Source organism: Homo sapiens, chromosome 17 (assembly GCF_000001405.40).
Source record: "Homo sapiens chromosome 17, GRCh38.p14 Primary Assembly".
NCBI classification, from domain to species: domain Eukaryota; kingdom Metazoa; phylum Chordata; class Mammalia; order Primates; family Hominidae; genus Homo; species Homo sapiens.
Genome location: NC_000017.11, coordinates 15,777,231 through 15,791,716, shown reverse-complemented (window position 1 = coordinate 15,791,716; position 14,486 = coordinate 15,777,231). Strand labels below are relative to the sequence as shown.

The following is a 14,486-nucleotide window of genomic DNA, read 5'->3' as shown; positions in this document are numbered from 1 at the left end:
ATAAAGCTTCCATATTTAAGTTAACTTACATGAAAGTTGTCATGACCTTAGGACAAGGAAGCACTTCTTTTTTTTTTTTTTTTTTTGAACAAGAATTTATTTCTTAAAATTTACTTAAGGGATTAGAGCTAATATAAAATAGAACATTTAATATAACACTTGGAGTTATGTCAACATAAAAATAGCTGTGGTTACAATTAGCACATGCAATTCACTGCAAAGGTAAAAACACATACTATACTCTAGACAAGGCTTCCAACTGAAGTTAGAGTAGATGGGGTAAAACAACAAGTGAACATGAAAGGATTGCACTTAGAAGAAAGTGGGACATAGCTAGGATATAAAAGAAGAAACATACCTAATGCTAATCACTGCATTGTCCTACTAGCAAATTGCACATTTATTTTTAGAGTATATTCAATACATATATACATTGAGACTAGAGAATTTTCAGATATCTACCTTTAAAATATCCCTTTGGTTCTAACACATCACATTATGGTATTAATGTTAACAGCACTTAAAACCTGTAGTTATCATTCAAAGCTTGTGTTCAAGAGATTAAAAAAAAATCTGTCACTATTGGCCTTAAATGCATCTCATCACAATCCATCAACTTTAATGAAATGGGTAATGAAGTTAAACTACCCAGTTTATACAAATATTGACTGAGAAAAAGCCCTTAAAAATTTAGGAACAAATGAATGACAGAAGAGCTCACCCTGAGCTGCTACCTTTTAATTTTTAATGCAATGTATATGAGAATATCATGCTAATGCACATACTAGTAGCATGTATGATGGAAAAAATAGGTTAATGCAAAAGATAATACACTTGGCTTTGTAAAGTTTTGTTTTGACTTACATCTGTCTGAATTCTGTTTATTGAGTCTGAAAAGGAACTGCTGCCAAAGACCAGTCCAAAGAAGAATTAGGCTGTAAGCCTGCTAGTTTATATCATCTATGAAATCAATGACAATGCCCAATTTTACGCTAACCCTAAAACACTTGCCATTTTATGACTCCATATTCTTTCAATTTACAGAAAAGTACAAACTTTTTAAAGAAAGTAATCTTATCAGAGCAATATAATTTAACAATACCTATAATAGAAAGCTGTCCCAGTAAATTTTTTGAACAATTGAACTTTTGTCTCATGTAGCTTATAACTTTGATATTTTATTCATCCCAACAAAATAAAACTTTATTGAAACAAAAGTGTATGGTTTAGGAATATGCTTTTAATAACAACTGAGCAAAATTAGAATGATGTGGACTATAACAGAATGAAGGAAGAGCTCTCCTGCTTGATGTACTTGGTCAATATATGTTAGTAAACAGAAATATTTTAGGGAATTCCATATGATTATTCTACTTCTACATTTACACATCATGGTTTTAACTAGTTAAATGGGGAGAAAAAAGACATCTTTAATAATTGATGTCTACTTCTCAAACTGGATGCTCTACTTTAAATATGAGCTTTAATAAATGTTTTGTAACATTTTTAAGTTGTAACATTTGTAAGTATACTCCAGTCATCTTCAACTTCACAATAAGAGCTAGGGTCATCGGATGACTTCATGTGGTAAAACCCCTTATGAAGGAATAAGGCTGAAATTAAATGAACAATTAGGTACTGAAGAGATATGAACACAGAACATATGAATGAAATTTCCTTTTTTTCCTTGCTGCTCTGTTCCTGAGTGCTGATTGATCTGTAATAAAAAAGGATAGGATTAAAATTTTAGGTTTTAATGGTACAAAGTGTGAAGTCTTGTAGTTTTCTAATAATTATTCAGTATTATCCGTTTCAGAGACGAGGGTAGGATACCACAGACATCAGTAACTGACAAGTCATAATATCAACACATGTAACATTTGGGTCCTTTTTTTTTATAACCTAAGGGGAGGAACTGCAGTTGCAGAAGCAGTGAGTGAACTAGTTTTGTCCACACAAGGTTTTCTGATGTGCTAGTATTACTTTAAACACCACTTTTAGACACTAAAGATTCAAAGTGATAAAGCCACTCACTTTATTAGACTAGTTTTTACATAAATAACCAGACTTGTTTCTTTGCCTACCTAAAATACAATTTACATACATCAACACGTAGATTACTCTAAGACATGCTCGGGAAAGTAATTTTGAATGTAAAACAAGTTTTATGATTTATTTTCTCCTTAGGGCAGAAGATGTACATTACATATTAGTGCTCAAATATATGTTCATTTCCAGAATGAATTTTTGCACAGTAATCATATATCCATTTAATATGTATAAAGTGTTCTTGGGGATGGGGGCATTCACTCACTGTACCATGTTTTATACAGGCTTCAACATGCAAATTTGTTTATATCATGGCCTTCAATGATCCTCCATTCTCATTCCCGTAGATAAAGAGTTCACATTGTATAACTGACCCTGAAATGTACAAACTTCGCACTATAACATTCTTCATGACACTATTTATTAGGAGAAAAGTTGCAGCTAAACATTACAATCATGTGACTTATTTTGAGAAAATGGAAAATGTAATAGGTATAAATTTCCTGACACATACAGCAAGACAAATCCAGCCCAGCCTTTGATGATCAACTTAAACGCTGGTGATGTCATTATCTTGTGTGAATTTGGGTCTGTACCTACCTTTACTTCTCTGTGCCTGATTTTCCTCATCTACTTTGAATTCATCATTCTATTAATCCACTTTTGCCTAAAGTGGGAAACTGAATATATCAGAATAAAGCATCTACTTTTTTTCATAAAGAAGATCATATAATATGTGAAAGAACTTTGAAGGATCAGGCATTATATCAATGCAAGAATATAAAAGATAAACAGGAAGTCTAATCTGAATAATATTCTGAGAGTAAAAAGTGTAATTATATTTCAATTGTAAATGTATACCAAGTTTTCTTAGCTTTCTATTCTCCAATAACCTCTAGAAACTATTCTTTTTTTTTTTTTTTTTTTTGAGATGGAGTCTCACTCTGTCACCTTAGAAACTATTCTAAGCATGCCTGGTTTCTGTAACTTAAATATGGCATAAAAACCTGTTTCCTTTGAATTCACTTGATAGCAGTAGTCAAACACTAATAATGCTTGCTAATTTCCTCTCACTTTCTTAAGAAAGCCCCTATATTTAGCCTCTGCCTCCATGTCGCATGTGGTGGTTAGGTGACAGCATAAGTACACTAGTGGCTTTAGCACTAAACTCGAGGCCTGGGTCACTTCTCCCCTGAAGAAGAAAGGTTTAAAAATTCCTAAATCACAATGTAGAACTAAGTTACACCCTACCTCAGAACTGCAGATATTAAAATACCATCTCTTTATTAAGTGTCTCTACAATAAGGATATTTGCTAAGATCAAGATGTACAATTTTTTGGGTTCTGTTTTGTTTTGGTAAATATTGCCCACGTCTTTTTAGTTTGCTTCAAACATTTACTAAAAATAAAAAATTTTAAATCTTTGCCTACTTAAAAATAAAAAAAATACTCAAAACAAATTTAAGCTGAAGATATATACTGTATAAAGTGCTTCATCTACCTAATTCTCTGAAGTCTTTTTTTTTTCTGTGTTTTAAGACTTTATCATTAAAAAAAGAAGAAATTAGAGAAGGGAGGTGGGGGGGACAGGAGGGTGAAAGAATCTCTCCAAAATGTCGGATCCGGGCGACCCTCCTTCCCTGACTGCCCAGCCACCCTGTCCCTTCTCTGTCCTCGCGGCGAGGCCCTAGCTGCCATCTTCTGGGGACCAAGGCCCAGGAGCCCAGCTCGGGTCCCAGGCAGAGGTGAAGGCAGAAGCGGGGCTCAGAGCCTGGAGGCCTTGCCGGTGTCCTTGAGAGCCCCTTGGGTGGGCACTCAGGCCCCCATGTCCCAGCAGGGCCCTAGGGAGGTAGGCGTTGAGCGGAGAGGCCTTTGGAGGTGGGATCCTGAAGCCAGAGGACCAGGCGGGAACCAGAGCCAGGTGTGAGGCTGGGGGTCACAGCCGGAGGCTGGGTCTCTCCCGCATCAGCCTCTATAGATAATGCCATTCTCCTTCCGAGTTCAAACTCATCCCCACTGATGCTGGAGCCCGGAAGGCCACGTGTGGCTCTGTCTCGGTATAGCCCCCGATGGGCTGGCCCTCTGGGCTGAAGGCTGCACCCTGCCCTGTGCGGTTGGATTGATCGATCATAGGTTGCACGATGCGTCTCCGGGCATTAATGAACCAGTTGTTGACTTGCAGGATGGTAAGCCCCGTGTCCTGCGCCAGCTGTTTCTTCTGCTCCTCCGAGGGGTACGGGTGTGAGAGGTGCTGGAACAACCAGGCTCGCATGATGTTGGTGGCCACCTTGGGGAAGATCCCCCTCTTCTTGTTTCGCCGTGGCTCCTGGTCCAAGTCCTCATCTTCTCCACCAGAACTGGGAGAGGCCACGCTGGTGTCCAGCCCGACTCCTTGGTCACTGGAGTTGTCCCCACTCTGGGAGGCCAGCCCCCCGCTGGATGGACCTGGGGTCCCCAAATGTACAGACCCGCTATCCTCATGGTCTCGAATCCATATATTATTCTGGTCTGGGAGGCTGGGGCAGGAGGCTGGGTAGTCCTCGAAGTCCTCCCTGCAGCCGCCATCCCGATCCTCGATGACCAGGTCGATGGGCATCTTTCCCTTCTCCAGCTCTAGCAGGTGGAACCGCAGCACTTGGATTGCCTGGATCATCAGATTGTCCAGTTCTGGGTTGGAGGAGAAGAAGGGCCTCTCAGAGCGAACCTGCTTGGCGAAGGCAGTGTTGTCCTCGTTGAAGGAATCAGAGGAGCAGACGTCGCCGCCGCGGGGGTGTCCCCAGCCCAGCTCCGGCCCCATCACGGGGAGAGCATGTAGCCAGTTCACATTTCTCAAAGACCAGGGCCAAGACGGGGAAGAGCGGGTGTCCATAGATCTCATCCTTGTCCCTCTTCAGGCCGTCGCTGTCCAAGCCTGGGGGTAGGGGCTGGGGAGGCCGGTGAGGGCCATAGGGCCCTGGTGCCGCGGGCACTGCCTCTGGGAAGCCAGCCAGGGCTGCGGGGCCATCCGCGATGCCTGGGTAGTGCGGCAGCTCATCGTACCTTTGGGCCATGGGCTGAGGCCGGCGGCACCTCCAGGGTCCCTCCAGAGCCTGGCCGCGGGGTAGGGCGCAGCCCCCGACGGCCCGTGATGTCGACGCCAGGGGGTGGGCAGGAGGCCAGACGCGCGCCCCCCAACCCCCGCCGCCGTCAGCCGCAGGCGCCGGGCCGGGTGGGGGCTCCGCGCATGGATCCCGGCCCCCGCCCCCAGCGGGGGTCACGGCCGGGAGCGCATTACCGCCGGGACGGGGCAGCAGGCGCGGGCGGGGCGCCCGAGGCCCCCTCCCCTGGGCGCCCCCGTCCCTCCCCCGGCTCTGCGGGGAATCGAGCCGTCCCCAGACGGACAGACCTGGGACCGCGGGGGGCGGGGGGCGGCCCGGGGCGGCGGGGGTCCGGCGGCGGCTCGGGGGTGCTGGCGGCCGCGCTCCGCCTTCCCGGTCTCTTCCTCTCTGTGGTCACATCCGGAAGTTCCACCCTCTGAAGTCTTAAGAAAGGTCAATGATGTGTGTGTGTGTGTGTGTGTGTGTGTGTGTGTGTGTACACACACACAATTTAAGCCTTTAAAAATGGCAATTTTTTAGATGATTTATGGGTTTTTTCCCCCTTTACTACTACAATTTAAGCCTTTAAAAAATGGCAATTTTTTAGATGCTTGAGGTAGTTTGGGGGATCCCTAGCTCTTAATCGTGGCACTCTGTTGAGTTTGTGAAATGGATCTTCAAAGAGGTTGTCAATAATAAACAAATTTTTGAAACGAGTCAGATTACTAATTATTGATGAATAAAAAATGAGTACTTTTAGGCCAGGTGCAGGGGCTCACGCCTGTAATCCCAGCACTTTGGGAGGCCGAGGCCGAGGCAGATCACGAGGTCAGGAAATCGAGACCATCCTGGCTAACACTGTGAAACCCCGTCTCTACTAAAAATACAAAAACATTAGCCAGGCATGGTGGTGGGCGCCTGTAGTCCCAGTTACTCTGGAGGCTGAGGCAGGAGAATGGTGTGAACCCGGGAGGCAGAGCTTGCAGTGAGCAGAGACCTTGCCACTTCACTCCAGCCTGGGCAACAGTGCAAGACTCCGACTCAAAAAAAAAAAAAAAAAGAGTACTTTTAATCTGCCAAGTTAAAGCTCTAGAATTCCTTTTCTCCAGTAATAACTGGCAGCATCACCACCAATGGAAGGGACCTAAGGAATATTTTGTACATTGATATACACGAGGCTGCTCCTCATTTTTTTTGTCAGATTACAAAAGCTGGGCTCATATAGTTAGGGCCTATGGACCTCTTTTTAAATTATTTTAGCAGAAGTAGATGGTCTAGACCTTGCTCCTCTAATCTTTTATATTAACTGTCCCTAAGCTACTTTGATGACTATTCTAATCAAAATCAGTATAGCTGTGCTCGCTAAGCATATCACTGCTTATTATTTAAATACCTTCTGTTTTCTATGTAGCAAAACAAAAAGTTTTATAAATTTCAGATAAGCTTTCTGTTTTTCTTCAGTGCAAACATCCTGAAACAGCACAAAATCATTCAGCTAATCTGAGGATAAAGTCAGTTTATGTAGTGCTTAAAGTAGAATCCCAGATATTCTGGAATGGAAATAGCTCATGTGAAACTTCAGTTCATTTTTGTCCTTAAGGACAAATGATCATCTTCAGAGAGTGAAGACTTTTTAAAATCTGAATTCACAGATAAAATAATTTTAGCTTTACTTTATAGGTACTGCTGAAGTTGTAGCAGGAACTACTAGTCCTTCACTGATGCATGTAGCTGCCTTGCCGTACAGTCTGTGGTAACTTTTAGGCATTCCTTCATCAATCACAGCCTCCATCCCAACTGTTTCAGATCTTTCTACTAGTCCCTCAGTACCTGGACCAAAAGTATCTATCTGCTGCAGAAACTTTCTGAAACATTTTCATTTGCCCAGATCCACAGGATTGTGAAATATGATCTGAAATCTGTTGTTTAAGTCTAACAAAATCTTCCTCATTGACTGATGAAACTTGCTTTGACCTTTCAAAATGTGAAATATCTGGACTGGATTCATGCTGACTGCAGTTCTGTTTGAAGTAGTGTTGCCTGGGCAAAATGCCATCACCGCCATCTGCATGATCTACTAATTGTAGATCTTTTGGCCTCTCCTCTGAATCTAACAAGGGCTGGGTGGACTTGGATCTTGAGAAGACCTGGACTGATGGAACTTGGTGTCTGTAGCCACTGTGTACCACAGCAGAATACTGGACAGTGTTCGAAGTGTTGTGTGAAGATTCATTTTCATCACTGCTAGAAATGCTTGGCCTAGAAGATGACATGCATAAAGACCCCCCCAATACCACTGCCGTGTCCTTCAGTATTAATTTTTTCCTTTTTGAACAGGTCTAATGATTTCAGATCTTCTGCAAAAGGCTTTTTGTCATTTGCTTCTATTTCCACAACACCTACATCAGTGAAATTGCCATCTGAATACATTTGATCTTTTGCATTAAAATTGTGCCTTGAAGGAGTGTGAGGTGACCACTGGGCAATATGACTCTTTGAAGGATCTGGAACGTTAGGCCAGATGTGTTTTTTAATTAGGTCTCGCTTATTAAAGCAGAACAGCACTCCCAGAAAAGTTGTCAATAGGAATGCTAAGCAAACAGTTTAAGATACTAGACAGTTCCTCTGAGTTGATCACTGATAAATTATGTGGCAGATTAGGCTTCACTTTATATACAGCATCAAAATTGATATGATCTGATGTAGCCTTCCCAAGGGCATTCTCTGCTTCTACCCAGACTTCAATGTTGACAAAATACACAGTAGAATAATCAATGGTGCATGAGGTGGGGGTGTCACATTTTGGTTGCAATCAGCAAACTTGTGTGTTGCCCATTCAGAGTTTAAAGTGAAGTTTGTCTCCAAGTGTGTTTCCCTTCCACGATCCCACTCACACCTCATTTTGTTTCCCTCATTCACAATGCAACTCAAATTTTTAGGTTTTTCTGGAGGCAAGCCTGAAATTATTGTGATTCCATAAACATTCTGTTCAAGCTGTCCGAATGTAAGAATGTTGCAAGGGAGTTGAATATTTAATGAAGCTATATGTGTAAAGGTGACACTGGATGCTGTTCTGTTTATGATAATATATTGCTCCTTAAGAATAGCAAAATGGTTTGTTTTCCAGACAATGTCATTAGCATTTACATGAAAATAATCCATACATTTTTCCTTTAGCACACAAACTGCAGTGAAATTAGAATGAAGTTGTACAACTGGAGATTCGGGACTGATATAACCACATGGATCTAGAAGTTCACCTATAGATTCAGTGGTGAGGAAAATAAAGCTGGCACTAGCCAAGTCTGCAACGTCAACATCTTGCGCAGATATTTCCAAATCACAAAATTAGTAAGTGAAAGAGTAGGGATTTGAAGCTAAGTCTTCTGCTTCTAAATGTCACACTTTTTCCATTGGCTTTCACTCAGACCGCACCGCCTGGATCCTCTGCGTCTCCACAGCACACGAACCCCTCGAACCCCTCGGCGCCAGTCTGGGCCAGACCCGTCGGCCTGGCAGGTGCGGCCCCCGGTTCAGCTGCTCCGGGGCGGCCCAGCGGGACTCCGCGGGCCTTTTGGCTGCTCGCCCCGGCTCCGGCTCCGGAAAGCTCGCGGATCTTTCTCCGGAAAGCTCGTCGATCCTTCTCCGCAGAAGTAGAGCGCCGCCCCAAGTCCCGCGGCGGGGCGGGGCAAGGGAAGCACTTCTTAAGTGGAAATAGAAAGCATTAATTTTATATATATATATATAAAATTGGTTTTTTTTTTTTTGAGATGGAGGCACTCTGTTGCCCAGGCTGGAGTGCAGTGGCACAATCTCGGCTCACTGCAACCTCTGCCTTCTGGGTTCAAGCGATTCTCCTGCTGCAGCCTCCCGAGTAACTGGGATTACAGGTGCCCGCCACCTTGCCTGGCTAAGTTTTTGTATTTTTAGTAGAAACGGGGTTTCACCATGTTGGCCAGCCTGGTCTTGAACGCCTGACCTCAAGTGATCCATCTGCCTTGGTCTCCCAAAGTGCTGGGATTACAGGCATGAGCACCTGGGCTAATCATAGAAATATTTTAATAAACTGAACTACGTGAAAGTTTAAAATTCGCATTTGCCAAAAGACTATTTAAGTTAACCCACAGAGGGAAAGAAGATAGAGCAACAAGCGTAACTGATGAAGGGCTCATATGCATCCAAGTACTAACCAGGCTAGACCCTGCTTAGCTTCTGAAATCAGACACATTCAGGGTGGTATGGCCATAAAGGGCTCATATCCAGAATACATAAGGAACTCCTACAAATCAATAAGAAAAAGACAGACCAGCCTATATATAAATTGGCTTAAGACTTAAACAGGCACTTCAGAAGAGAGACTATCAATCTCATTAGTCATGAGAAAAAAGTCGAAAACCCAAGGAAATATCACTATATACTCACCAGAATGGTTAAAACTACAAAGACTGAAAATAGCAAGTGTTGGCAAAAAAGTACAGGAATGTAAACAATCATACTCTGCTAGTGGAAATGTGAATTGATAATAATCACTATGGAAAAGAGTTTGGCAATTTCTACTAAAGCTCAAGATATTTATACTCTATGACTCACCAAGCCATTGTGAACATATACACAATGGAAATACTTGTACATGTGCACCAGGAGATATATATAAGAATGTTCATAAGTGTTCTTACCCATAGTAGCCCCCAAATTAGAAAAAAACCCCAAATCCTATCAACAGTAAAATAAGTAGTCGTATATACTTACTACATAAAAATACCTTACAGTATGCCATACAGAAACACTACTGTACACCACGTCATTGTACACCACAGGAAAAATTGTAATATACACTTACTGTACAGGTATAGAAACAAACTAGAACTACTGACAATTACTTGAATCAATCTCAAAAACATAATGTTGAATGAAAAAAACCCATAAACGGAAGACATAGACTGAATATGTTGTTTATTTTATATAAAGTTCAGAAAACAGAAAAACTTAAACTACAACATTCAGGGATATGCGCTTAAGTGGTAAGAAGTAAGAAAAGCAGGCCGGGCGCTGTGGCTCACGCCAGCAATCCCAGCACTTTGGGAGGCCGAGGCGGGTGGATCACGAGGTCAGGAGATTGAGACCATCCTGGCTAACAGGGCTAACAGGGTGAAACCCCGTCTCTACTAAAAGTACAAAAAAAATTAGCCGGGCTTGGTGGCAGGCGCCTGTAGTCCCAGCTGCTCCAGAGGCTGAGGCAGGAGAATGGCATGAACCCGGGAGGCGGAGCTTGCAGTGAGCAGAGATTGCACCACTGCACTCCAGCCTGGGCGACAGAGCGAGACTCCGTCTCAAAAAAAAAAAAAAAAAACCAGGCAAAAGTCGTTTATGGAGACAGAAGTCAGGGTGGTGGTTGAAGAAAAGCAAGAGAGTTATGATTATAACAATTGTGATACTGATTACTCTAGAATGACTGAAAGGCAAAGAAAAAGAGAGAGGCTATTGGGTTACTAGTAATACTCTTTCTTTACCTAGGTGATACCTACACAGGTGTTCCGCTTTGTAATAAATTACTGAGCTGTATATTTTTGTTTTGTGGATTTTTCTATGTGTATTGTGTCTCATAATTTAAAAATGATAAAACATAGCTCAAATTCCTTTCAAGGTTAGTGATCACATTGGGAATAATATATAGACATAAAACTAAATTCTTCAAAGGTTTAAATTATCATAATTCTCCATATAACAATGTTGTGGTTAACTATGGACCACATATACGACAGTGGTGCCATATGAATATAATGAAGCTGAAAAGTTCCTATCGCCTAGTGACATCGCGATGGTTGTCATCAAGATATGTAGGCCTAGGCTAATGTGTATGTTTGGGTCTTAGTTTTTAACAAAAAAGTTTAAAAAGTAAAAAAAAGAACTTTTTAATAGAAAAAAGCTTATACAGTAAGGACATAAATTATTTTTGGATAGCTATACACTGTTGTTTGGTGTTTTAAGCCAAGTGTTATTACAAAAGAGTCTAAAAGTTTAAGAATATTTAAAAGATTATAAAGTAAAAAAGTTACAGTAAGCTAAGATTTATTATTGAAGGAACAAAAATATATTCAGTAAATTTAGTGTATCCTAAGTATAGAGTGTTTATAAAGTCCACAATAGTATATATACAGTGATGTCCTAGGCTTCACATTCACTCATTACTTACTCACTGACTCACCCAAAACAACTTACTGCCCTGCAAGCTCCATTCATGGTAAATGCCCAAAACAGGTGTGATATGGTTTGACTGTGTTCCTACCCAAATCTCATCTTCAACTGTGGCTGCCATAATTCCCAAGTGTTGTGGGAGGAGCCAGTGGGAGAAAATTGAATCATGGAGGCAGTTTCCCCTACACTGTTCTTGTGGTAATGAATAAGTCTCACACGATCTGATGGTTTTATAAGGGGTATCCCCTTTCACTTGGCTCTCATTCTCTCTTGCCTGCCACCATGTAAGATGTGCCTTTCACCTTCTGCCATGATTGTGAGGCCTCCCCAGCCAAGTGGAACCGTGAGTCCATGAAACGTCTTTTGCATCATAAATTATCCAGTCCCAGATATGTCTTTATCAGCATCATGAAAAAGGAGTAATACAGTAAATTGGTGCCAGGAGTGGAGTGCTGATATAAAGATACCCAAAATGTGAAAGTGATTTTGGAACTGGATAACAGGCTGAATCTGGAACTGTTTGGAGGGCTCAGAAGAAGACAGGAAGATGTGGGAAAGTTTAGAACTTCCTAGAGACTTGCTGAATGGCTTTGACCAAAATGCTGATAATCATGTGGACAATATAATCCAGGCTGAGGTGATCTTAGGCGGAGATAAGGAACTTGTTGGGACATGAAGTAAAAGCAACTCTTGCTATGTTTTAGCAAAGAGACTGGTGGCATTTTGTCCCTGCCCTAGAAATTTGTGGAACCTTGAACTTGAGGGAGATAATTGAGGGCGTCTGGCAGAAGAAATTTCTAAGCAACAAAGCATTCAAGAGGTGATTTGGGTGCTGTTAAAAGCACTCAGTTTTAAAACAGAAACAGGGGACAGAAGTTCAAAAAATTTGCAGCCTGACAATGCAATAGAAAAAAAAAAAACCCATTTTCTGAGGAGAAATTCAAGCCAGCTGCAGAAATTTGCATAAGTGACAAGGAGCCAAATGTTAATCAACAGGACAATGGGGAAAATGTCTCCAGGGCATGTCGAAGAACTTTGCAGCAGCCACTCCCATCATGGGCCCAGAGGCCTAGGAGGAAAAAATGGGTCTGTGGGCTGGGCCCAGGGCCCCCCTGCTGTGTGCAGCCTAGGGACATCTCAGCCACTCTAGCCATGGACAAAAGAGGCCAAGGTATGGCTTGGACCATGGCTTCAGAGGGTGCAAGCCCCAAGCCTTAGCACCTTCCATGTGGTGTTGAGCCTGTGGGTACACAGAAGTCAAAAATTGAGGTTTGGGAACCTCTGCTTAGATTTCAGAGAATGTGTGGAAATGCCTGGATGTCCAGGCAGATGTTTGCTGCAGGGGTAGGGGCCTCATAGAGAACTTCTGCTAGGGCAGTGCAAAAGGGAAAGGTGAGGTTGAAGACCAAACACAGAGTCCCCACTGGGGCACTGCCTTAGTGGAGCTGTGAGAGCCACCATCTTCCAGACCCCAGAATGGTAGATCCACCAACAGCTTGCACCGTGCATCTGGAAAAGCCGCAGAGACTCAACGCCAGCCCGTGAAAGCAACCAGGAGCAAAGCCACGTGGGTGGAGCTGCCCAAGACCATGAAAACGCACCTCTTGCATCAGTGTGACCTGGATGCAAGATATGGAGTCAAAGGAGATGAATTTGGTGCTTTAAGATTTGGCTGCCCTGGCTCAAACCTGTAATCCCAGCACTTTGGGAGGCTGAGGCAGGTGGATCACGAGGTCAGGGGATTGAGACCATCCTGGCTAACACAGTGAAACCCTGTCTCTACTAAAAATACAAAAAATTAGCCAGGTGTGGTGGTGGGCACCTGTAGTCCCAGCTACTCAGGAGGCTGAGGCAGGAGAATGGCGTGAACCTGGGAGATGGAGCTTGCAGTGAGCCGAGATCGCACCACTGCACTCCAGCCTGGGTGACAGAGTGAGACTCCATCTCACAAAAAAAAAAAAAAAAAAAAAAAAAAAAGATTTGACTGCCCCCCTGGACTTCGGACATGCATGAGGCCTTTAGCCCCTTCATTTTGGCCAATTTCTCCCATTTGGAATGGTGTATTTATCCAATGCCTTTACCCCCTCTGTATCTAGGAAGTAACTAACTCACTTTTGATTTTGCAGGCTCATAGGTGGAAGGGACTTGCCTTGTCTCAGATGAGACTTTGGACTGAGGACTTTTAAGTTAATGATGAAATGAGTTAAGACTTTGGGGGACTGTTGGGAAGGCATGATTGGTTTTCAAAAGTGAGGACATGAGATTTGGGAGGGACTGGGGAAGAATGATATGGTTTGGCTGTGTCCCCACCCAAATCTCATCTTGAATTGTTGCTCCCAGAATTCCCACATGTTGTGGGAGGGACGTGGTAGGAGATAACCGAGTCACGGGGGCAGTTTTCCCCATACTGTTCTTGTAGTAGTGAATAAGTCTCACAAGATCTGATGGTTTTATAAGGGGCTTCCCCTTTGTCTTCACTCTCATTCTCTCTCACCTGCTGCCATGTCAGATGTGCCTTTCGCCTTCCACCATGTTTGTGAGACCTCTCCAGCCACATGGAACTGTGAACCCATTAAACCTCTTTTCATCATAAATTACCCAGTCTCAGCCATGTCTTTATCCACAGTGTGAAAACAGAGTAATAGAAGGTGTATCATCTTTTATACCATATTTTTACTGTACCTTTTCTATGTTGAGATATATTTAGATACACTAACACTTTCCATTGTGTTATAACTGCCTACAGTATTCAGTATAGTAACATACTGTATAGGTTTGTAGCCTAGGAGCTACAATATGTGATAGCTTAGGCTATATCCATATAGCCTAAGTGCTTAGTAGGCTAAACCATCTAGGTTTGTGTTAAGTGCCTCTATACTGTCCATGCAATGATGGAATAGCTTAGCAACACATTTCTCAGAACATATCCCCATTGTTAAATGATTCATGACTATTCTTGAAAGACAATGTTAGTCATTGATAGCAGTCTGCCCTATCCTCTCAAAATCTTCTCTATCTCAACCCATTATTCACATATGCATACATACATACACGTATTTAGCTTCTTTATAATGAGGTACCACCTTACTTTCTTGACTCTAATAAAAGTAATTTTCTCTCTAATATATAACCTATGATTTAAGAGTTAACCAGTTTCTCCCTCAT

General features: G+C 42.5%; 3 pseudogenes across 1 annotated transcript, besides 1 other annotated feature; all 3 read right to left on the bottom strand.

Annotated features, from left to right (window-relative positions):
- On the bottom strand, window positions 84–8,723 carry IL6STP1 (interleukin 6 signal transducer pseudogene 1; annotated as a pseudogene).
- MEIS3P1 (Meis homeobox 3 pseudogene 1) lies at window positions 2,012–4,867 on the bottom strand (annotated as a pseudogene). Its single transcript, NR_002211.1, has one exon. The product of NR_002211.1 is annotated as a Meis homeobox 3 pseudogene 1 (transcript).
- Window positions 4,725–5,224: an enhancer, noted in NCBI's record as "H3K27ac hESC enhancer chr17:15689807-15690306 (GRCh37/hg19 assembly coordinates)". NCBI's record gives its function as "activates a minimal SCP1, AML or CMV promoter by ChIP-STARR-seq in naive H9 embryonic stem cells {active_cell/tissue: H9 hESC(naive)}" and the evidence as "EXISTENCE:reporter gene assay evidence [ECO:0000049][PMID:30033119]".
- On the bottom strand, window positions 9,262–9,376 carry RNA5SP436 (RNA, 5S ribosomal pseudogene 436; annotated as a pseudogene).